The sequence below is a fragment of the Homo sapiens genome, chromosome 6 (assembly GCF_000001405.40).
Source record: "Homo sapiens chromosome 6, GRCh38.p14 Primary Assembly".
NCBI lineage: Eukaryota > Metazoa > Chordata > Mammalia > Primates > Hominidae > Homo > Homo sapiens.
Genome location: NC_000006.12, coordinates 41,219,076 through 41,243,593, shown reverse-complemented (window position 1 = coordinate 41,243,593; position 24,518 = coordinate 41,219,076). Strand labels below are relative to the sequence as shown.

At 42.7% G+C, this 24,518-nt stretch overlaps 1 protein-coding gene, 1 long non-coding RNA gene and 1 pseudogene across 2 annotated transcripts, besides 3 other annotated features; 1 reads left to right on the top strand and 2 right to left on the bottom strand.

The window, feature by feature from the left end:
- Positions 3,397–3,931: an enhancer, noted in NCBI's record as "H3K4me1 hESC enhancer chr6:41207401-41207935 (GRCh37/hg19 assembly coordinates)". NCBI's record gives its function as "activates a minimal SCP1, AML or CMV promoter by ChIP-STARR-seq in primed H9 embryonic stem cells {active_cell/tissue: H9 hESC(primed)}" and the evidence as "EXISTENCE:reporter gene assay evidence [ECO:0000049][PMID:30033119]".
- Positions 3,932–4,468: an enhancer, noted in NCBI's record as "H3K4me1 hESC enhancer chr6:41206864-41207400 (GRCh37/hg19 assembly coordinates)". NCBI's record gives its function as "activates a minimal SCP1, AML or CMV promoter by ChIP-STARR-seq in primed H9 embryonic stem cells {active_cell/tissue: H9 hESC(primed)}" and the evidence as "EXISTENCE:reporter gene assay evidence [ECO:0000049][PMID:30033119]".
- Positions 3,968–4,074, top strand: RNA5SP207 (RNA, 5S ribosomal pseudogene 207; annotated as a pseudogene).
- On the bottom strand, positions 4,712–15,245 carry TREML4 (triggering receptor expressed on myeloid cells like 4). The gene is made up of 6 exons (NM_198153.3): positions 15,104–15,245; positions 14,550–14,880; positions 14,023–14,073; positions 13,472–13,532; positions 6,977–7,108; positions 4,712–6,539 (listed from the first exon to the last, which is right to left on the bottom strand). Exons 1-5 carry the CDS (start codon positions 15,164–15,166, stop codon positions 7,012–7,014), a joined length of 603 nt encoding a protein of 200 aa, NP_937796.1. The 5' UTR covers positions 15,167–15,245; the 3' UTR covers positions 4,712–6,539; positions 6,977–7,011.
- A 2,520-nt stretch (positions 15,246–17,765) lies between these two features.
- Positions 17,766–22,329, bottom strand: LOC105375055 (uncharacterized). Its single transcript, XR_926794.3, has 3 exons — positions 22,188–22,329; positions 20,498–20,573; positions 17,766–19,681 (listed from the first exon to the last, which is right to left on the bottom strand). It is a non-coding gene; the product is annotated as an uncharacterized LOC105375055 (long non-coding RNA).
- Positions 20,272–20,771: an enhancer, noted in NCBI's record as "H3K4me1 hESC enhancer chr6:41190561-41191060 (GRCh37/hg19 assembly coordinates)". NCBI's record gives its function as "activates a minimal SCP1, AML or CMV promoter by ChIP-STARR-seq in primed H9 embryonic stem cells {active_cell/tissue: H9 hESC(primed)}" and the evidence as "EXISTENCE:reporter gene assay evidence [ECO:0000049][PMID:30033119]".
- Positions 22,330–24,518: the final 2,189 nt, after the last annotated feature.

The window sequence follows — 24,518 nt, the reverse complement described above, 5'->3', positions numbered from 1 at the left end:
TGATTTGGGGTGGAGTTGAACTCTAGTTTCTTACATACACACATTCACAAAGAAATTCTTATAAACTCTAATTCATTCATTTATTGCAGATGGATTCTTTCTGTTCCTGCCTCTCTTTCTCTCCCAGGCTTCTATCTGCTCAGAACAGTCACTTGTGTTCCCTCTTGTAAATAACCTCTTACAGGCTTACTTGAAATCTGTTTGGTTTCCCATAAAGTTTGGGTTGTGGGAGGGGTTCCTGTACTCTCACACATGGGTGTGAGTGCACATACACTCACACTCACACACATAGTCTTGCTTTCTCTCTCATACACACACACACACACACACACACACACACGCCCATGCACACAGTCTCACACACCCTCCAGCCGCCTCTCCTTTTCCCTATCCATGTGTCTCCTCTGTCCCTCTCCCTGCCTCTCCTCCTGTTGTCTCTACTCATCACCAGCTCCCTCTAGACTCCTAGCTCCTCGTGCAGGCTTCCTAAAGCCACCACAGTGCTTTCCCTCACCCACCTCATCTCAAGAGCCCCTTCCTCCCCTGCCTCCAGCCTCCGTCAGCATTCAGGCAAGCCCCTTCAACTTCCCCCTGCTCAACCCTGTCTCGCCTGTGCTGCTTCCATCTCCAGTGGAAATGACCCAGCACTTGGCCCAAGACCACATCCTTCACTTACCCCAAGGCCTAGAATCAGAAGCATTGATTTCTGATGTCCAGTATCTGTGTCATCTCCTCCTTCAGTGTGTGGGGACCCAGCTGGACGCCCGTGGTTATGTATGCTCCCCCTACTCACCAGTGCCATGTTTCTACTCCTTAGATGGGACTGTCAAAAAGTAAACTGAGGTACAATAAAATTTTAAACAGATTATTTGAGCAAACAACAATTCATGAATCAGGCAGCTCCAAACAGAAGAGGTTGAGGAGCTCCACTGGGGGAATGCAAGGGGAAGACTCCTACAGGACAAGTAAACTGAAGAAAATATTTAATTAGTTACAGTTATAAAGTTCCCTTATTTGGCCTATCCTGTTGGAAAGACCCTAGTTACCTACATAAGTTTGTTGGCTTCTGATTGGTTGAGCTTAAGTTCTGTTCTTCCTTAATACACACATTTACAAGAAATAGCTCAAGTGAAGTTTCACTGATGTTTGCAAATCAAGCAAAGTTGAGGTTACTTATGAGGCCTAACTGGTTTTGTCTGCTCAGGGACTCTTCAGGCCTGGTCTCCATTTTCATTAATTTTAACAGGTCTCAGAGCAAAAAGTCCTCAGGCTTGCATGGCCAGAATCTTAAACTGACCTTGAACCCCCAAGCTCCAAGCAAAGAAGTCTATCTCGGCTGACCCTAAGCTTTTATAGTCTCTCAACTCATTCACTCACTCATTCATTCATTCATTTGTTCATTCCCACAACCTCATTGCTATGCATGGGGCTAGGTAGGCACTGGGGGCATAGGAATGAGACACGATTGTCACTTGAGACCTCTCAGCTCACAGATGTGTTTTGTTTTCCTTATTCACCCTTCCTTTTTCAATGTTTCCCACCCAGTCCTTAGAACTTCCTGAGCTCCCTGAGTTCAGGGGCCATCTCCCCTCCCCAGCACACACAGTATGTTCGTTCATCCCTTCCCCCATTAGAACAGTAAGTTGCTTCGGGGGCTTCGTGTGCTTGCAATCCATGATTCTATGAAACCGATACAGTGTGCCCAGCACTGTGCCAGGGATCATTAAAACTGTGACCCTTGGGATCACTGTGCTGATGAGGGTAGAAGGAATCAAACACTCACTCACTGATCGAGGAAGTATGTACTGGATTCAAACTTTTTTAAGAGAAATTTGGAAGCATTGGTCAAAGTCATTAAAAATATGTATACATTAGACTTTTACATCCATCATTTGATTTAATACAGCAGTGTATTTTGTCTTTACATTTATTTTTCCCATTAGAAAATTAAGGTCTAATTTACATACAGTACTATTCACCCTTTTTAATAAACAGTTCTGAGAGTTCCGGAGACTTGTATCCAATGCCATAATCAAGAGAGAAGGGTGCCATCATCCCCAAAATCTTTCTTGGATCAGTAACTTTATGTCTTTGACCAAATTTGAGGAGCTTAGACATTTCTTTGAATAATTTTTTAGTCCCACACTTTTTCTCCTTTGCTTCTGGGACACTGGTGATGCAAAAGTTAGCTCTTCTAGTAATGTCCCACAGATAGCTGAGGTTTTGTTCATTTATTTTCAGTCTGTTTTCTGTCTGTTCAGTCTGGGTAAATTTATTGTTCTGTCTTCTAGTTCACTAATTATATCCTCTCATTTCTACTATCCTATGGTGTCCATCTAGTGAGGTTTTAATTTTGGTTATTGTAGTTTTTTGTTTCCAAATATCCTTTTGTTATTCTGCTACTGATTTCTAGTTTAATTCCAAAAAACTCTTTTGAGTTTGTTCTTTTCTTGTTCGTTTTCTTGATGACTTACTTTGGACACAGATTAGTTTTAAAATTTTAATTTTGGAAAATCTCTCAGCCTTTTCCCTCTATGATTTCTGTCTCACTTATATTGGTTACTTATGCCTGTCCTTACTAGAATTGAATCCTTATAGAGTTATTTCTTTTAGTTCTTTAAAATTTTCTCATTTAACACTTAATTCTTTGATCTATTTAAAATTTATTTTAGATTATAGTATGAAAAGAGGGTAACATTTAATTTTTTCCAAATAGTTAAACATATGCTTTTTTCTTTTTTTGTTTGTTTGTTTTTTTTTTTTTTGAGACGGAGTCTCGCTCTGTCACCCAGGCTGGAGTGCAGTGGCGCGATCTTGGCTCACTGCAACCTCCACCTCCCGGGTTCACTCCATTCTCCTGCCTCAGCCTCCCAAGTAGCTGGGACTAGAGGCACCCACCACCACGCCTGGCTAATTTTTTTTGCATTTTTAGTAGAGACGGGGTTTCACCATGTTAGCCAGGATGGTCTCGATCTCCTGACCTTGTGATCTGCCTGCCTCAGCCTCCCAAAGTGCTGGGATTACAAGCGTGAGCCACCGCACCCGGCCACATATGCTGTTTTCATTGTTAAATAAACTCACTGATGTGAATGGCTATCTTTGTGATATAGTATCTCTATATTTGGATGGTTTATGGCAAACTCATCAACTCTATTTACCTCTGGGGCTTCCTTAGGCAGTGAAATCTGCAGTAATTAACTGATCCTCAAAAAAAAGGGGTGGGAAGGGAATAAAAGATGAGAATACAAGAAAAATTACCAAATGCTATAAAAAGATAACAAATAGAACAAATTTCTTATAAAGAAATAAATTGAATAATCTATTACAGAGAAAGCAGAACCAGTGGGAAAACAATGATTTCAATAAGCATAGCAGATATTCTCAGAGCAATAAGGAACAATATTAGAAGCATAAAACAGAAGCAAGCAATAATGAAGAAGAAAAAATTAGAAATATTGATTAAGAAAATGATCATTGCTGAAAGAAAACTCTGAATGCAATGACTAGCAGAAGAATGAGTAGGTAAGGGAAAGAGTCAAGGAGCACTTCCTAAAGGCATTAGGAAGGAATAAAGTGATAGAAAGTGTAAGGGAAACATTAAGAGGTATGGAGGATAGAAACAAATGTCAATATCTCCTCAAAGAAGTCCTCAAAGGAGAAAAAGGAGTAAATGGAGTAGAAGAACTTCTTGAAAAAATAATACCAAGGATTTTTCCGAATTAAACAAATATGTAAGACATCAGACTGAATGTGTTCAGAGAGTTCCAAATAGAATGTATAATCAAGCTTTGGCTTCCTGCTCCCTCCCTCTTTACTCATTTTGTCGCCGCCGGGCTTCCCAACCACCTCTTGACTCTTCTCCCACTTTTCCGCTCGCCTGCGCCCCCGCGGGAGCCCGGGACCTCTTCGTGGAGGTCTGCCGCTGCAGCACCGCGGGCTGTTGGGGCAGCCAGGCGCCACTGCTGGCCTCTAGGGTCATACCACCCTGAAAGTGCCCGAGGCACGCCCCAGGCAGGGTCGGCCTGGTTAGTACTTGGATGGGATTCCGCCTGGGAATACCGGGTGATATAGGCTTTTGGCTTCCTGCTCCCTCCCTCTTTCCCCCTTTTGTCGCCGGGCTTCCCAACCACCCCCTGACTCTTTTCCCCCTCTTTCGCCCAAAAAGAAAAAAAAAAAAAAAAAAGGAAAAAATGGATAATTACCCCACATTACACCCATTATAATACAAATTTCAAAAAGAAAATTATAAAATGTTCCAGAGATAAAATTGGTCAGTAGAGATGAATAACTATCAGATTATTATCAGACATTTCCATAGCAACACTATGAAGGTAAGAAAACAATAAGAAATGTTCAAAATTTTAAAGAAAGCTACATTTTTTAGATGTTAACTTATGACACAGAATTTACCACCTGCTTGAAAATTGTGGTTAAGGGAATTATGACAATTTTGAGGCCAAGGATGTTAAGATAAAATATTTAAAAGTTATAGCTAAATGCTAAGCTCTTAGCATCTGATTAAGGAAGACTTATTTTTATTTAGTCCATTTTTATCCCACTATCAATGTTCTTTAAGTGAAGCTCAATATTTCCATACGACAAGTCAACTTTTCCCAACCTACTGCAGTTGTAAAAGTTCAATAAGAAAGAACTGGGTTCAGCCACATACGACTGAAAACCAAATAGCAGTGGCTTCAAGACACAAGTGTTTAATTTTAGGTACCATTTTAATTATGAAAATTTCCAAGCATACACAAAAGTAGAGATAATCATATATCTAGCCCCATGTAGCATCACTCAGCTACGTTTATTCTTGCCTTCCATTTTTTTTTTAATTGGCAATACCATTCCATAGGTTGTGCTGTGTACTTCACATAGACTCAGAGAAAACACATAATCGCTAGTGTCTAGATTCTTGGTTCAGGCAACACAAGCTGGCAGTATTAATTAGATGTCTGAGATCCCACAACCCAGCTGATGCCACCTGTGTATAAGTCCTAAAGGAAGTCTCACATGATTCCACAAGAGAACGTGAAGGAGGGTATTCATCACAGCATCATTTATGATATAGAAAAGTGAAGGCAAAAAAGCACATGCACCCTGGGTTCGGAATGATGCACTGTGGGATATGTACGCAATGGAATAAGCACTGAAAAGAAGTGGGCTGTGTATATGTGCCCAGCAAGGAGTAAGACAAGCATATGAAAAAGGTCTATCACAATTTCTTTTATGTAAGTGAAAACATAGTCACAGAAAAAAAAATACTGGATGTTTTACAAGAATACATTCAAATTTAAAGTTACATACCAAATGCATTAGAGTAGTTGCCTCGGAGAGGAAGGCAAGTGGACATAGGGAATGAGGATTAAAAAAATAAATAAACAAAGCAAAAGCGATGCCTCTCACAGATAGGTGATGATCATGTGGCAGGAGCTGAGATATACACGAAGAGACTTTTGTTTGATGTCCCATCCCCAAAAGAGCAAAAGAACATGGAGCTCTCTTTATGGTGGTCTTTTACAGGGCTGGCATTCAGCTGCTATGCACTGGTACCTCAAATCTGTTGCTCATGGTGGACCCCCATTCTGAGTGGTGAATCCCAGTCTCACTAGATGTTAGTTGGAAAATGACTGTACCTATTCTTGCTTCATAAATATGTGCTCCTCTTCTGTTCCCTAAAACATTTATCTTTCACCCACCATCATTTATTGTTAGTTCAACTTGATTTTCTCTTTTAGGCTGTGAATCTTCTCACATGTTAAGTAAACAGAATTTGGGCCCCAGATTATCAGATTCCATTTACGGATGAATGTTCTGGGTCCTGTTTTGGGCCACTGAGTCGCCTGCTCATGTCATTTTAACGCATCTAATTTTTTCTTTTACTTCTAGATCTTCCTCAGCTTCCAGTCTGCTGATTACAGCCTTTCTTAGTTTCAATTTTATCATTTATTTTTAAGTCATTTCTCTCTCATTTAGGATATCTGGGGTGGGACGGGAGGAAGGTGAGGGGATACAACTGCTGTCTTGCTCAGCTGCCCCTGACACATTTCAGTTCAGAGGTTGAATTTAATTAAGCACAAGAGGAAATTCATAGGACTCTAGGGCAGACCACAGGCAACAAACAGGGGAAATGTGAGGGATCCTGGAGACCTGCTGAGGTGGGGCTCAGAGAACGACAGAGTGCTGGAGAGGAGCCTGGGCACAGCTGAAGATGCTGAGCTGGGCATTGACCCGGATGCAGAAACCCCCACCCCAGGTCTTCCCAATGGCGAAAGTCAGGGCAGGGGCAGTAGATCTAAGGGGGCTCAGTGCAGGGGTGAGGGGTCACCACCGGGGAGTTCAGGGGCTGAAAGTTCTCTCCAATAGGCTTAGCGCTAGCCTTTCCTCACAAGGAGGTGGGGAGCAATACTTAGGCCAGCTCCCAATAGCTGGGCAGGGGAAGAACTGGGATTCATCCAGGATCCATGTTGTGGCTCATGCACCCAAGGGTCCTGGGACAAGGCTGTGCTGGGACAATCAGAAACCTCGTCACTGCTGTCCTGAGATGGGGCAAGAGGGGGAAAGTCATGAATGGAAGTGATGCTTTTCTGATCCTTTGTCTCACCCTGTCCCTGTTACCTGTTACTCCTCTTCCCGCCCCTCCCCCGCCTTCTCCCTGTCACCTGCTTCCTTCCCTGCCCCTTCCTGTCTCCTAAACCTTCTACCCAGGCACTCTCAGCTTTGTCCTCCTGGTCTTTTTCCTCTCAGGACAGAGACAGAGGCAGAGCCCTGGGATGGGACTCCCAGAAAGCCTCTGTCTCTTTCTAAGGTCTGTGTCTGCAGGAAGGCAGAGATTGCAAGGAAACACACTTTTAAATTGTTCCCAGCTGTCATTTTTCCTGCCTCTGTGACCTGGCTGCTTCTTCCTAGCCATCTTTCTAGGAACAGAATCTGGCCCCAGCTCCATTGCCCCCAGGTGAAATCCAGGCCCCCTCACCTGTGGCACCTGCAGATCAGGAGCACTAACAGGACTCACAACATCAGGCCCTTGGCCAGGAGGAGTCCACATAGCACCAAGACCAGGAATCTGGGGCCACCTGAGCCAAGGCAGGCAGGGGCTCTTGATTTCCTGCAGGGAAGAAGGAGAAAGGAGGATGGACTTGGGCCAGGATGTCACCACCTCCTGCGGTGTCCCTAAGCCAGGCAGGCCCCTTGTAGCTGGAGCTGTTTGCGTAAGGGCCCACCCTGAACGATGACAGAGGGGTGTGGGGCAGGAGCCACAGAGGTCTCTGGGACTGAGAGGGGACCTAGTCAGAAGGAACCTCAAAGTCTTGAACGGAGGAAAAAGCTGGCCAGGGGAAGAACAAGGGATTGGAGTTCAGGGAAGGGGAGGGATAGAGCTGGGGGAGCAGGAATTCTCCCTAACCAGGTCAGGTCGGATGGGACCATCCGACCTTAGGAATCAGAGCCCAGTGCATCTTCAAGACCAGCCAAGATATCACATCTGAGGAAATGAGGCCTAGAGACTGCACAGGACCTGACCAGACCCTTAGGAGTGGTGACAGCACAGACCTAGACCTCCTGTCTGTTGGTCCCAGGGGTCCTCCCTCATCCCCTCTGTGTAGCCCCCACTCCTGGCCTGCCTAGCTCTGATCTAGGACTACCCTGTCCCAGCAAATCTGCTTTTCTCTTGTGGCCTTGGTAACTTTCTGCCTCAGTATTACATAATATATGATAAAGTCAGTGAGCTCTTTTTATTTTCACTTTTTCATGGTTGACTTAGCTACTCATGTATCTTCCTTTTTCATATAATTTTAGAGTAAATTTTTCAAGTTCTTTACAAAAGTAAAGAAGTTGTGTTTGGGATTACATTTAAAGACTTTTTAATTTGGGAGAAATTGACATATTTACAATGTTATTGCCTCTTCCAAAGTCATGGATTGTTTCTATTTATTCAGATCACCTGTCATTTTTTAGCATTTTATACTTTTCTCCAAACAGGTCTTGGTTAAATTAATTCTTTCTAGAAACTTTATAGACTTTGTGACTGTAATGAAAACGATCTTATTTTTCTAAATGATTATTCCTCATAGAAATCTATTTGTAATGTATGTCAGTTGATTTTGTATCTGGCAGCCTTGCTAAACTCTCTTGTGAGATCTAATAGTTTGTTGTTTCTCATTCTTTTTCTGGGTAGATGATCCCATCAATTGCAAGTCATGACAGTTTTTCCTCTTCTTGTCTAATCTTCTTTCATGTAACCTGTTTTCCTTTCCTTCAAGCATTGATCAGAATCTCTAATATTTTAGAAGACATTTATGGTAGCTATGAAAATCCTTAATTTGAGTTTATACCTCCAATAAGTAATCTTTATGGTAATCATTGGTGTACAATCTTTACCAAGTTATCTGTTCTTACTTCCATTTTATTAAGAGCTTTTTCAGATAACATAAATGTGCTCAAGGTCCCCAAATGCTTTTTGTGCAGCAGTTGACTTTTTTCCTGTAGTTTATGAATTTGGTTTACTTATATTAATAGATTTTCTAAAGTTGAAAAATCCTTTTTGTTTTGTGATAAGACTCTCCTCGATTATAATCAGTCTTCTTTTCAATGCACTCTTGAATTCAGTTAGCTAATGGTAATTAGGGAATGGACCCCATGTGCATCAGAGAAATGAACCTATAATTTAATTTTTTTGTATCTCCTTTAATTAGTTCTGAGATTTTGATGACACTAACCTGTTCAAATGACCTGGGCTGTTTTTGCTTCTTTTCTATTTTCTGCAACATCTAGTATGAAATATAAATCATGAAATGTAAATGTTTCTTTAAAAATTGGGTTACCTGAAAACCACATGAGTCTTGAATTTTCTGTGAGGATGGGTCTTATCAACTGTTTCAGTTTTCCTATTTATTAATCTATTGAAATCTGTTTCTTCTTGTGTTAATCTTAGCAGTTCATATTGTTAGGAAATTGTGTGCTTCTAGGATTTAAAACAACAAGATTTTATTCAGGATTTATTTATTTTAAAATCTCTGTAGAATCAGTGTGTGGTTATTTTCTTCTTTTTCTTTGATTTGTTTATTTATTATCTTCTTTTGTCTTGACAAGAACATGTCTATCTTAGCAAACTTTTAAAGAATGAATTATGAATTTCTTTGATCTCCTTTTTCAATCATTCAATTATATGATTCTTTGGGTTTGCTCTGATGCTCGTGTTCCATCTTCTTGAGATGCTTCCTTAGCTCATTAATTTGAAATCTTTCATGTTTTCCAACAAATATATTCAAAGGTACTAATTACTCCCTAATATTTTATGCCTCATACTTTTTGATATATAGTGGTCATATTATCAAAATATATTTTATTGCATACTTAAACATTCATATATGAATGTATTAGTAAATAGTTTGAAAAGTGCTATTTTATTTCTCTTATGCATTCCTAATGTCATTGCGTTAGGTTTGGAGAATATATTCTGTGTCGTACTGATTCTTTAGAATTTCTTCACGCTTCTTATATGTCCTTATACAAGGTGTCCTTTTGTAAATACATTTCATGTATTTGAAAGAATCTATACTATCTGTTTTTATTATGTAGAGGGTTATAAACATATATATGTGTACTTATACACTATTTATATTTATGAATACTGTATTTTATAAAACATACATAATATACATGTTTTATATTTATATAGTTTAGAACTATATTTATATAGTTTAGAACATTTTTCAATCTGTAACTACATATTTTATATATTTGAAAATATTATATATTTAAAAGCATAGTTTATATGTATCCTATATTATTATAAATACCTAATAAAATATGTAACATTGATAAATATGTGATGGTATTATACTGGAATTTATTAGTTATTTGGCTTAAAACTTAAACCCCTCTATTTAGTTTTGTCTCATTGGTCTTTGATCCTCTGAGAGGTATGTGAACCTCCAACTACAATGGCTAATAATTTATTTCTCCTTGCATTTCTGATAGTGTTGCTTGATATATTTCATGGCCAAAATTTAAGCACATATACGTTTATGATGGGTCTATTTTCATATTCAAGTGCATCTTTCATCAGTATATATTACATATCTTTGTCTTTTTTATAAACAAATGTTATAGACATAATATTTTACCTTAAATTCTATTTTGTTCCATATTAAGAGTGCCAGAAGAGTTTATTTTGTTTCCTAATAGTCAAATATATTTTTCTAACTTTTAACCTTTTAAAATCTTTTGTATGTTTATCTCTTATAGATAGTATAACATTGCACTTTTTAAAACTCAGAGTGTCCCTGTCCTTATTTTGTGAGTTTAATCCACTTAAATTTATTGGAATTGCATTTATTTTAGGACTTGATTCTACCTTTTTATTTCATTTTTTCCATTTATTGTGCTTTATTTTTTAAAAATTCGATTCCGACTTTCCTTTGGCTAGAGTTTTATTTTGCTGGATGAAAGGGTATACATTCTCTTGACTTAACCTGAAGACTCTTATCTACATTGATTTAGTACAATTGCTACATTGAGCTTATCAATATCTACATATTGCCTCTCATGAGACAAGTACCCAACCATTCTTTCATGGGCTTCTGGTCTCTCCTTCTCACCCCATGTTGTTATTGTCTAGAACAGGGGTCCCCAACCCCTGAGTCACAGACCAGTACCAGTTCCTGGCCTGTTAGGAATCTGGCTGCACAGCGGGAGGGGAGTGGCTGGTGAGCAAGTAAGGCTTCTTAGTATTTACAGCCACTCCCCATCGCACCCATCACTGCCTGAGCTTCGCTTCCTGTTAGATCAGTGGTGGCTTTAGATTCTCGTAGTAGCATGAACCCTATTATGAATGGGGCATGCGAGGGTTCTAGATTGCACGTTCCTTAGGAAAATCAAATGCCTGATCATCTGCCACTGTCTCCCATCACCCCCAGATAAGACTGTCTAGTTGCAGGAAAACAAGCTCAGAGCTCCCATAGACTCTACATTATGGTGAGTTGTATAATTATTTCATTATATATTAAAATGTAATAATAATATAAATAAATAAATAAAATGCACAGTAAATGTTATGCGCTTGAGTCATCCTGAAACCATCCCCTACCTCCAAGTCCATGGAAAAATTGTCTTCTGCGAAGCCAGTCTCTGGTGCCATAAAGGTTGGGGACTGCTAGTCTAGAATGTTATTTTTCAATGACCATGAATGTATTTTCTCTTGTTCTTCATTTTGCTCTTAGCTGCCATTCCTATAAATCAAAAAAGATAAAAACAAACTTTCCCAAGATGCTGGGCACACTTACTCCCTCACTTCTAGCAGCGTCTCCAGGGTTTACTTTTCATCCTAGCTGAGTCCTTCCTCCAGGAGTGTTTTCAGTGGGGATGTTTGCATGTGGCAAACCTTCTGAGGCCTTGAGAATCCAGAGGTTTTATGATTTCACATTGGAGTGACAATTTGGCTGAATACAAAACACTGGATACAAAGTTTTTCTTTAGTACTTTAGAAATATTACTGAATTGTCTTCTTTTCTCTAGTGTTCTTCTTAAGAAGTCTAATTCTTATCACTTTGTAGGTGATCTGAAAGCGTGCAGACATTTCCCTCTGCTTTTTAAGTTCTTCCCTTTTACATAATGGGTCTAGAGGTATTTTTGTGTGTGTGTTGGCTGTTTTCCCCTATTTGGCAATGTATGAATCTTTTCAATTTGAGGTCTTTTCTTCTATAATTTTGAAAAAATTTCCTGGATTCTTTCTCCAAATATTTCTTTCTTTCATCCTTTATCTCCCACAGGAGTTCTTGATACTCATACATTAGTACACCTACTCTTCTCCTTCGTGTCTCCTAACTTCTCTTTGATTTTTAAATCTCCAGTTCTTTCCAGGACCTTCCATGAGAATTCCTCACTCTTCTTACAGCTCACTGGCCAGCCACAGCCATCCTTCATCACATATATTGTGGTCTATAATATTTTTCACAACTATGATCAGCATTTGGCTCTTTTTTCCAATGGATCGTCCTCATGATCCACATAGTTGACGTCTCCCCTCACCCCTTTAGCCAGACTGATCATAGGTACCTAGAGTTCCTGGGGAATGGGCAGTTCCCATAGTTCTGCTTCACAGGTTTCTATTGTTGGGTGTGTTTCCATTCTTTTAAGGTAGTGCTTCTACTAAGAGCCTAGGTATTTTGGCTTGTGAATTCAGATTCCACTGGGCATATTAGATACGGATCTGGTAATGGGGAAGAACCGAAGACTAAATCCTCTAGCCATTGAGGGTTAAAAATGAGAGGAAAAAGCCCTAAAGCAACAGTCCCCAACCTTTTTGGCGCCTGAGAACTGTTTTGTGGAAGACAAATTTTCCATGGACCTGAGAGTCGGGGATGGTTTCAGGATGATTAAAGCACATTATATTTATTGTGCACTTTATTTCTATTATTATCATGTTGTAATATATAATGAAATAATTATACAACTCAACATAATGTAGAATCTGTGGGAGCCCTGAACTTGATTTCCTACAACTGGGTGGTCCCATCTGGGAGTGATGGGAGACAGTGACAGATCATTAGCCATTCAATTATCATAAGGAGCGTGCAACCTAGAACCCTCGCATGCACAGTTCACAACAGGGCTCATGCTACTATGAGAATCCAATGCTGCCACTGATTTGACAGGAGGCAGAGCTCAGGCAGTAATGCAAGCTATGGAAAGAGGCTGTAATTCAAATGAACTTCAGTGGCTCACCACTCACTCCCTACTTTATGGCCCAATTTCTAACAGGCTTGGGGATCACTGCCCTAGAGCACAAGACCCCAGGGACCCCCATTAGCTGCCATACTTTTTCTCTGGTTAGGGTTTCACCTTCAAACTCCCTGAGAGATAGTCTGTTTGTAATCTACCCGTGCTGGAGTTTGCAGGAGAAGAGGGCTACGGAGCAAATGCTCTGGCAGTTAGTTGTCTATTTTCATCAATCGCTCATGTCTTTTGCTGTGCTCCATGGTCCCCTAGAGCACCTGTGACCTAGTCTATTGCAGCCTATTCCTCCAGTGAAGGGGAGGCCGTCATGGCCTCAAAACCCATGACTGCAAGAATAGAAGCAGAATTTAACAGTATGCCTCTCATCTTTCTCTGGCTGACATCTCCAGCCACCATCTGCCCCAGGCTGCAGTGACTCTATTCATACTCACCCCTCAACACACCAACACGGCCTCCAATTTCCACATTTTCTGGGTTCCATTTTGTTTTATTGCAGAAATCCATGTTGAACTGTCTTTTCCATGGTTCCTCCACAATTAACAACCTGCATCCTCTTCCCCTTTCCTCACTACCAAATTTTGAGTCATGGCCTGGGGGCTCCACGGCTGTAACCTATGCCCCAACCCACCAGAGAAGGATCCCTGGGTGCCCTGGACTTGATTCCAAGGTTCAGGAGCTAATCAGGCCCTCCCTTCCCAAGACCTCCCTCCCAGTGTTAAAACCTCTGACCTACCTGGTCTCAGAGCCATTGATGGAGGGATGGCCAGAGGTCCCCTCTGGAGAAGTGATCAGAACTAAAGAGGACACAAAGAAGACAGTGGCTGCCCAGGGCACCAGAATAGAGAATGGGATTGGGTCCCAAAAGTGTGAGAGGAAGGGGAGAGGGGCCAGAGGCAGCCCCTAAGGGTCCCTCAGGCTAAGGGTAACTGAGGCCTGAGATCTCCATAACCAGCTGAAGTCAAGTCTGGCACTGTCCTCTCCATGCTGGCGGGAGGACAGGGGCAGGAGGGCTGGGACACACGTGTGCAAGGTGTTCCATATGGACTTCCCTCTGGGGACACCCTCCCATCATCGTGAGAACATGGCGATCTTCTGATCACATCAGATAGTGCATGTTTCTCTCCCTAAGAGACAGTGGGCCCTGAAGGTAGCTTCCCACAAGCCCAGGCCCCAAGAGATCAGTCCTCAGAGGCAGGCCTCCCTGGTTTCCCCTTCCCTGAATCTGAGGCTCCCAAGCTGCCTGGTGACCCTTCTAATCTTCCCCCACCGAGGCCTCCAACCTACCTGTGCTTGTTGGGAGCCAGGGAAGAGTCCACATAGGAGACGTGGTTGGGGCTAAAGAGAAAAGACAGCAGACAATGACTCTCCAGGGGCCCAGAAGAGAGTAGGGTCTACCCCATACATAAGAGGAGGTAGGGGCCCAGAGCCAGACCCTCAGGATGTCTTAAGCCAGGAGTGGTCTGTGCCTAAGATCTGCATGACAGAGTTGTTGGTGTGTGTGTGTTAGTGTGTGTGTGAAAAGAAGAGTTGTGGGTGTGCCTGTGTAAGACAAAGAGAGACGCAGAGTGACAGACAGACTGTGTCTCTGTCCAGGGACCTCTGAGGGTACCTTCCCAACAATTGAGGCCAGGATGTACCGGGTGGAGGAGAGGTGAGAGTCCATGTTTGGGGACAGGATCTTTGCTCCCCTTGGACCACAGCAGAATACCTGGCAGGATGGGGGATGATAGAGGCATGGGAGGGGGTGCATGACATTTCCTTCAGGTCCCTGGGGGGTGGCACAGAGGTATTTCCTCAAGAAAAGAGCTCACCTGGAGACACCACCAGGCTGATATTTCTAAGAACAGTGATGATGTTTTCGGAAGCGTTGTAGATTCCACACCAGTAGAATCCCGAGTCATTCTGTGTCAGCTGAATCATGGTGATGTTGAAGAAGCCAGCATTGGGCTTGTCCCAGATTGTGTAATGAGACTTCTGAACTGCTGTCCAGGGCTTGGAGCTGGTGACAAGTAAGGTACACCGACTTGGAGATGTCTGCTGACACCAGGATTTGGGCTGATAGGGCCCTCTCTTGGGTGAGTACTGGCATTGCAGGAGGAGGGTCTGTCCTGGGTGTTTGTGAAGTTCTTCAGGCACAGCACCCTTTACCCAGGAACCGGCAGAAAGAAACCCAGGTCAGAGCTCTGAAGGGACCCAACCTCCCCCATCACAGGCTGGGGAAGGGGAGGGGGAACTAGTTCTGATGCCCACACATGGAAGAGGGCCCCTAAATTCTGTCCTATGGTCACACAGCCATGCTGCTCCCTGCCCCACTCATTCTTCATCCCACTCCTTACACCCCCTGCACTCTTTCCCTCCATGTCACCTGAGGCCAGGAGCAGCAGCAGCACAGGTGGAAGCAGCAGGTGTGGACCCCACCCCAGGCCATTCCAGCCCAGATCTGTTTCTGACAGCGGAGGAGAGGAGAAAAAAGGGAGCCCTCTCAGGAGGAGTCAGACGCTGGGTCTGATTCTGCCCCAGGTTCCCAGTGTCTCTCAGCTGGTAAAATTGAGGAAGTCAATGTCTTGCTGGGGAAATGGTCGGCCTGGGAGGGCGGGCTCTGCAGACCAGGGGAGGAGGGGCAGCCAGGCCTTGAAAGGGGCCACCAGCTACAGGGTCTGTCTCTGGGCCTGGGCACCTCAGCCCTGCTGTGTTGCTCTGCCGCCTTTCACTGAACTTCTCCCCATGTCTGCTGCTTTATGCCTTCCAGCCAGTCATACTGCTCCTCTATTGCTAGGGGCAGCTCTCAGCATGGCCAAGAATAAAGCTGGTGAATAAAGCTGGGGTCATCCCTCTTTCCTTCTCTCTGTGCACTTCCTATAGGTGGTCAGGGCCCTTGGAGGCACGACCAGACCCCTGAATCCTTCTGGTCTAGCCATGGTGGGTTGATGATGAGTTTTGACCCTGAGACATTTTGTAGAGGGCAGATTTTAATCCCAGGAATTACAAGATGTTCCCTGGAAATGGTGGGGCCAGGAAAGCAGGGAGGAAAGAGAGTGCTGGTCAGGGAAAGTTGGAGGGGAAGGCAGGTAGGAGTGGATCAGTTATGGTAGCTTGGGATCATCTCAATCAGTGCTTGTTGGATGAATACATCAGTGGATGAAAGAACAACGCGTGTGTAAAATGTACAGAAAAAGAAAATGGCCGAAGTGAGAACTATCTAGCAACAAAACCAAGTGGTACTGGATTACTACCCAATGTATATATTAAATCTCTAGGAGTCCATGCTGATGTAAGTAAATGACTGAATAAAGAACTGGGGGGGGGAATAGACAAATATCCCATGCATAAGGATTCTGCTGTGTTCAGAATGTTGTTCCCCCATCTCATATATTCAAACTTAATTTCCATGTGATAGCGTTAAGAGGTGGGATCTTGTGGGAAAATCTTAAGTCATGAGGGCGTCATCCTCAAGAATGCAATTAATGCCCTTATACCAGAGATTGCAGGAAGCAGATTTGCGCTGTCTGCCATATGAGGACAGTGTTCATGCCTTCAGTCAACTGAGGTTACTGCAAGAAAGCACCACCTTGGAAGCAGAGAGCAGCCCTCAGCAGATACCACATCCACTGACACCTTGATCTTTGACTTCCCAGACTCCAGAACTTTGAGAAAGAGATTTCTATTATTTAGAAAGTCTCCAGTCTAAGGCATCTTCTCATAGCAGCCTGAAGGGACTGAGAGAGATTGCAAACAATTCTTATAGGTATTCTGCCCTCAAGGCAGAAGCATAAATTCCCACGGCTTAAGCATGGGCTGTGCAGGTGACTTTCCTCCAGAGGATAGCATGGGAAGGAAGAGAAGAGTAACTGTACAGTGGAGAAACCTGACACTTACTGTGGCAGCCAGGCAACCAAAGTGCAGACCCACAGGGATAACTCAGGTTGTTAGAATGTGTCATTGACTTGATGTGATGACAGGGCAATTAGCTGTGCAGTCTCCTTCCCCAAAGCCGCTGGCCCCAGGAGAAAAACATCAAACAAATTCCACATGAGGGACATTCTACAAAATACCTGAGCAGCGTTCCTCAAAACTGTCAAGGCCATCAAAACTAAGAAATAATTCTCAGAAACTGCTATGAATAAGAGGAGCCTAAGCAGACATGAAGACTAAAAGCAATGTGGCTTCCTAGGTGGGATCCTGGAGCACAGAAAGTACATGAGGTAAAAGCCAGGGTAATCTGAATGAAGTAAGGACTTCAATTAATAAAATCTACCACAGAAACAGAGTAGAATGGCATTACCAGAGGCTGGGAATTGGACAAACTGGGTAGGTATTGTTGAAGAAACACAATATGTTAGACAGAAAAAATAAGTTCAAGAGATCTATTGCACAGTATGGTGAGTGCAGTTCATAACTATGAATTGTACAATTGAAAATGACAGAAAATAGATTTTAAATGTTCTCACCACAAAACAAGTAAGTATATGTGGTATTGCTTGATTTAGTAATTTCACAGTTAATACACACATCAAACTATCCTACCACGCATTATAAATATATGAGTTCTACTCATCAATTTTGTAAAATTATAGTAATGTATCAATATCAACTCATTAATTGTGAGAAATGTAGCATACTATTGGACTATATTAATAATAGAAGACATTGAACATAGCACATCAGGGAAGTATGCAATACCTACACAACTCTTCTGTGAATCTGAAAGCATTCTAAGTGTAAAAGATTAGTTTTAATATGTATAGAAACGATTTACACAAAGCATATGAATAATCACTTGATACATAACAAACAGCGTGTACATAACAAACAGCAAAGTTTTAAGAAATCTTAGTACGGCTAGGTGTAAAGCACCTACTAACACTTGATGGTAATAAGAGTCATTTTCTTAAACACACTGAAGTTTCTAAGAAAAGTATGATAAATTCTGGAAGAGGAAAATAGGAATTTATTCTCTGCATCTGTATCATTTGATGCCTTCAGTGTGATATGTCACACATAGTGTCCGATGTACTGATTGCTGTAAATGAAAATTTGTTACTATAACGTTTATACTACAGAATAGGGTTTATTTGGTGTAACAAGGCAAATACTATATTTTTACAAATAGCGTTTATTTGACATAACAAAGCAAATACTATATGTTTATTTTTCACTTAGTCATATTTGACTTTCATTGACAGCAAAAGAAACAACAAAACTTATAAATTTTAACTATTGTGATCTCAGTTTTGGCTGAGAGTATTCAGGTAGACACTGTGAACTCACTATATATTCATTGCCACCTCTTTCTTTCTTCCCTTCCTTCCTTCCTTCCTTCCTTCTTTCCTTCTCTCTCTTTTTCTTTCTCCTTCCTTCCTTCCTTCTTTTTTCTTTTCTTTTCTTTCTTTCTTTCTTTCTTTTTTCTTCTTCTGTCTCTCTTTTTCTTTTCTTGAGATGGAGTTTTACACTTTCGCCCAGGTTGCAGTGCAGTGGTGTGATCATGGCTCATTGCAGCCTTGACCTCCCAGGGCTCAAGTGATCCTCCCACCTCAGCCTCCTGAGTAGCTGGGAGTGTGGGCACACACCAATGCACCTTGTTATTATTATTATTATTGCTTTTCATAGAGACAACGTTTCACCATGTTGGCCAGGCTTGTCTTGAACTCCTGGACTCAAGAGATCCACCCAGCTTAGCCTCCCAGAGTGCTAGAATTACAGGTGTGAGCCACTATGAGTGGCTGCCACCTCTTTTTCATGGGTCTTTCTATAGTAAAAGGTCTACAAGATCATTTCTGATTCCTTTGCAGCTAGGGTTCCAGATATATTTTAGGTCCCACCCATTCAATGTATTTGTATGAGACTTAAATGAGGAAGTGAGCTAGAATGGGAAGAGAGGCATCCATTGTGCCGGTAGACTATGGGTGAGATGGAGGGGTTCTTTAGCCAGGGCTGTGATGGCAGCTTCCAGATTTGGAAAGTTGCCTGATTTGGAAAGGGTGTTGACTGTGGCAAAGGCAGTGGTCCCTTAGTAGCCCATCCTGTGGCTTTAAGAGTGATGCCCAGAAATTACATAGGATCTGATTCTGTAAAGCATTTAATGTTTGATTTTAAAAATCTCTTTCTCCTTAAAATCCGTAGCTTGGATTTTGTAGTTTGCAGCTAAATCTTGACTAATGCAAGTCCCAAGAAAATATATGCTATCTGTCAGAGTGAGGTGGGAGGCCAGTGTGAAGCACATGCCAAAAGGTATTGAAACCTTCTTTGAGGAATGAATCCCTCACACACATCAAGGGTAGAAAGTTGTGAGGAGTGTGAAGATTGGGAGAGGACTTTTGGAGACAGCTGGTAGTTGTGCTGTGACCCTGGGGGAGGAGAGGGTTAGATTCCTGCATCTTATCTCAAACCTAGGGAGAGGCTTGAGATAGGGTCACAACTTGGAAAGATGGTTGTGGCCCCTGCAGTCTGGGAGATGTAGCAGCTGAGTTGGATTCAGTCTGAGAGCTGTATTGGGTAGAGACAGCAGGCGGCAAGCTGTCCTGATGGTGGAATGGAGGAGAGGTGACCTTGTGGGGGCCCCCAGGCTCCATGACTTTGTTGGGGTGAAGGAAGTGGATGGCTTCCGTGGGCCAGATGTTGGGCTGCACAGATGTGAGGCACCCAGCATGGGTGGTTGTAGATCCCACCCAAAAGGCCTGCTGGAGGTGGAGGGACGCATGGCAGGAAGCTGGAAGTGGACTGCGAAAGGCTTGGAGGCTGAAGGAGATGTCAGGAGCACCCACCAGGAAGGAGATCCAAGGCTACATGAGGAAGCTGCAGGTGACAGGCAGGGTGTCATCGGAAGAGCCCACAACGGTGCCCTCTGAGAAACCTCAGCTTGAACTCTTTGGGTCATCACCAGACTTTCCTGACCCTTCCTCTTCTCCTCTCCATGCTCCAGGCCTGGAGGCTTCCCAAACTGCAGCTGGAGGGCAGAGAAGACCAAGTAAAGAAAGGAAAGCCAACGTGGGCCCTCTGCCCTCTGAGGGTTAAAATTCCGAGGCTTTGGGGAAGAAGCTTTATTTTACATGGAGCCCTTTTTCCTCCACACTAATCACTGAACTGAAGCCAGTTTTGGAATAACCTTTTCCCTATTTATAAACAGAGGGGATGAACGAGGGAGCACAGGGGATTTGGAGGGCAGTGGGGCAACTGTGTGATCCCACAATGATGAGTTGATGTCATCACACGTCTGTCAAAGCACAGACAGCGCGTGCTCAGCAGCAAAAGTGAGCCCTCAGGACGGTTGTGTGCTTGATGACAGGACAGGGTGCCTCAATGTAGGGTAGCCGGCTGTAACAGCCGGACCCCTGGGCAGGATGTGGATAGTGGGGGGCTGTGCATGTGAGGAGCAGGAGGTATACGGGAACTCTATGTACTTTCTCTCATTGTTTTGAGAACCTAAACTGCTCTAAAAACAAGTTGATTACTTAAACTCCCCAGAAGAGGTATGTGTCTCGGTGCGGGGTCTGCCCAAGGGCCAGAGACATCCCAGCAGAGGGAGTGAGGAAGGCAGTGGGAAATGGATGTCAGGCCCTCTCGAGTTACACCTTGTGAGTCCCAATTGCTCTATTTAATGCCCAGACCGATGGCCGTCACTGTGATTTCTGAGGACCACCCTCATGTCTCCCTCTTGGGGTTGGGGGACTAAGCAGTGAGCTCAGGGAGGTAGTCGAGGAGGCCTTTCTTGACCACTGAACAGATCCAGGGAATGTGATGTTGCTGGGCAGGAAGGGTGCACCTGTGGGATCCTGGAAGGGAGAGTCTGCTGGTCTCCAGGGTTGGCCTTGTGGAGATTCTTCAGGAGGCCACCTCACCTGAGGAGTGAGAGAAAGGACGGTGCTTGAAAAGGGTCCATCTGAGCCCGCCAGGCCTAAGCCTGCCCTCCCTGCCGTGAAGGAAAGCCTGGGGTCCAATCAGCACAGCCTCTCCTGCCCTCCTGCTCTGGTCGTCCATCTGGGAACCAAGCCCAGCCGGTTCACATCCTTCCCCTGTCCCAGGGCCTGGCGCTGCCCCTGTCCAAAGACCTCCTGAGAACAGAAGTGAGGAGGAGTCAGGGGACAAGAGCCCTGGGGAGCCCCTGGGAGGCAGTCCTCCCACAGCAGCATCTGCAGTAGCTGTCTCATTGCCTCATTCACTTCCACCTCAAGCCTGGCCCAGCCCCCACTCACCCAAGGCCCAGACTTTCAAAGAATGACAAACAGGACCGAGAACACCAGGCCTCTGTTCAGGATGAATCGGCACATCAGAACAGTGGCTGGCACTGCCAGGTCTGCCAAGTCAAAGGTAAGTGTGGGCTCCCCAGGTCTGACCCTCCTGAACCCACAAGTGTGTGTGTCTGCTGAAGGTTGTGCTTGGAAGCCCAGCCTGCTCCCTCCTCCTGGCCAGCAGAACAGACAAGTGGGGCTTGGGCCTGTGGAAGATGGGCCTCAACCTTTCCTGGGAGCCCCAAACCCTTCTCACTCCAAAGGAATCCACCAGGTCTCCCTCCTGCTTCTAGTATCTACCCACCTCATTCCTCCTGCTCGTGGCTGCTGGGGGAATCTGCACTGAGCTCCTCATGCTTCCACAAAGGGGCCTCCAGGAAGCCCTTAACACTTCCCTTTGACTGCAGTGCACAGTGACAGGGCTGCACAGCATTCAAGGCTCTCTGCTAAAGAAATTTATTGTCCTGCTCTAACCAATCCTTCTCCTTTCTCCACTCAGCTAAGCCATCTACGTTTGTAGATGACGCTTTGTACGTGTGTCTCCACCACCTGCTCCCAGTACTCCCCAGCATGGAATGCTAACCCCTTCTATGCTTTATAAATCTTCTGCTACCTTCAAAGTTTCTCCTCCTCCTGCAAGTGTTCACTGACACCCACCTCCAGCTCCCACCCTGTGACAGCCAGAGTGTCTCTTTGCTCATCAGGTTCTTAGAGCTGTTGGTCCCATTCTTTAACTGCAAGAAAGAGGCTCCTGATTGCTCAGATTTCATTCACCACCAGACCACATTTGCTAGGTTGATGCCTTGTCCAAGGGGTATAAGAAGCTTATATAGTCATAGTGCTCCAAGCCCCAGCTCCTTTTCTCTGGGGTTGAGAATGGGACTTTTGCTGGCTTGAAGTGGGTACATCTAAGGCTTGTGTTAGGGCACGGGGATAGAAATTGAAGGGAAGGTCATTCTACCTGCTCAGGTTCAGGACCCCCTGGGCCTTTTTGGAGCAGGAGATAGTGCCTGATGTGGTCCAGCCTGGTTCTCTGGAATCCACAAGAGAGGCATGAGCCTAGGGCCTCAGCTAATCCCAAAGTAATACTCTGCTTTCTTCTGTCCTCTGTGCAGTGATCCTCATTCAGACACAAGTTATGTTGAATCCAGAGTGTCTTTTAGGGTTGACTCTGTTCAGAAAGTGCCATGTTCTGGAATAGATAAAAGCTCTTCAGGGCCTTACCTAAGCCTCCATCCCTACTAGACACCCAGGTATTGCTTGAGAATGATGGGACAGCACACTCTGAGCTTTCCATGCCATCTGTTCCACCTGGTGACTTAATCTGAGCTGGAGACAGACCTCCAAGGTGTCTGGAACAACTATTCTTCTTCTGTGACATATATAACAGAAAGACAAAGGCTCATTAGAGACTATTATTGGCAACTATGCACTAATAAATTAAAAAACCCAGAAGAAACATAAATTTCTGGACACACACATCCTATCAGAATTGAACCAAGAAGTAGGAAACAGGAATAGACAAATAATGAGTAACAAAATTGAATCAGTAATAAAAAATCTCTGAACAAAGGAAAGCCCAGATGACTCCATTGCTAAATTCTGTTGAAGTTTAAAGAAAACCTAATACCAATTCTCCTCAAACTAACTCAAAATATTGAGGGAGAAATAATTCTTCCAAACTTGTTCTATGAGGCCTGCATAACCCTGATACCAAAACCAGGTAAGGATACACCTATAAAGGAAAACTACAGGCCAATATTCCTGATGAGCTCATATGCAAAAATCCTCAGCAAAATACTAGCAATCCAAATACAACAGGAAATCAAAAAGATTATACACCATGATCAAGCGGGATTCATTCCAGGGATGCAAGGATGGTTCAATATATGCAAACCAATAAATGTGATACATCAGATCAACAAAATGAAGGACAGAAACCATATGAACATCTCAACAGATGCAGGGAAAGCATTTGATTAATACAACATGCCATCATAATGAAAAGTCTCAATAAATCAGGTATAGAAGGAAAGTGCCTCAACACAATAAGACCCTATAAGATAACCTACAGTTAACAACATATTGAACAGGAAAAAGCTAAAAGCCTTTCCTCTAGGATTTGGAACAAGACAAGGATGCCCATTCTCACCATTCTAATTCAACTTAGTACTAGAAGTCTTAGGCAGAGCAATTAGGCAACAGAAAGCAAGGGCATCCAAATTGGAAAGAAGGAAATCAAATTGTCCCTGTTTGCACGTGACATGATTTTATATTCAGAAAAACCTTAAGACTCTTCCAAAAAACTCTTAGAGCTGATAAGTAAATTCACTAAAGTTGCGGGATATAAAATCAACATACAAAAGTCAGTAGTGTTCCTACACATGAACAATAAAGTAGCTAAAATAAAATTTAAAAAGCAATACCATTTAAAATAGTGACAAAAAATACCAAGAATAATTTAACCAAGTAGGAGAAAAAACTCTACAAGGAAAACTATAAAATACTGAGGAAAAGAATTGAAAAAGATACAAAATAATGGAAAACATCCCATGTTTGGGAACTGGATGAATTAATATTGTTAAAATGATCATGCTACATGGAAATAGAAAAATAACCTAAAAATTCATGTGGAACCATAAAAGAACCCAAATTAGCAAAAGCTATTTCGAGCAAAAACAACAAAGCTGAATTTTCAGATTTCAAAATATACTACAAAACTATAGTGACCAAAAAAGCATGGCACTGACATAAACACAGACATATAGACTAATGGAACAGAATAGAGAACAAATAAATTAATTCATGTATATACAGCCAACTGATTTTTAAGAACAGCATCATGAACTTGTTTTAGGAGAAGGGCAATCTCTTCAATTAATAGTCCTGGCAAAACTGGATATTAATATGCAGAAGAATAAATCTAGATTTCCATCTCTCACCCTATCCAAAAATCAATTCAAATGGATTAAAGACCAAAGTGTAAGTTCTGAAACTATACAACTGCTAGAAAAAAAGAAGAAACTCTTCAAGATAATGATTTGTAAAAAAAGATTGTATGATAAGACTTCAAAAGCACAGCATGAAAAGCAAAAATAAACAAAGGGGATCATAACAAAATACAAAACTTCTGCACAGCAAAGGAAACAAGCAACGAAGTGGAAAGACAACCTACAGAATGAAAGAAAATATTTGCAAACTACTCATCTGACAGGGGAATAATATCCAGAATATACATGGAGCTCAAAAATCTCAACAGCAAAACCCCAAAAAATCCAGTTTAAAAATGTGGAAATGATCTGCACAGACATTTCATATATATATATATACACATATATACGCATATATATGTACATTTCGTATATACGCATATATGTACATTTCGTATATACGCATATATATGTACATTTCGTATATACGCATATATATGTACATTTCGTATATACGCATATATATGTACATTTCGTATATACGCATATATATGTATATATATATACCAAAATGTCAATTTTTATTATTATTGGTGTCCTGTCTGAAAGGCAGATTTAGCTGCAT

Bases quoted from the DNA above. Each gene is read 5' to 3' on its own strand.
- TREML4 (NM_198153.3), bottom strand. From the start codon at position 15,166: ATGGCCTGGGGTGGGGTCCACACCTGCTGCTTCCACCTGTGCTGCTGC. The intron at 14,074-14,549 runs GTGAGCTCTTTT...TTTTCTCTTTAG, and splicing joins CAGCCTGGTGGTGTCTCCAG to CCCCAACCACGTCTCCTATG. The intron at 7,109-13,471 runs GTAGGTCAGAGG...TCTTCCCTGCAG, and splicing joins ATCAATGGCTCTGAGACCAG to GAAATCAAGAGCCCCTGCCT.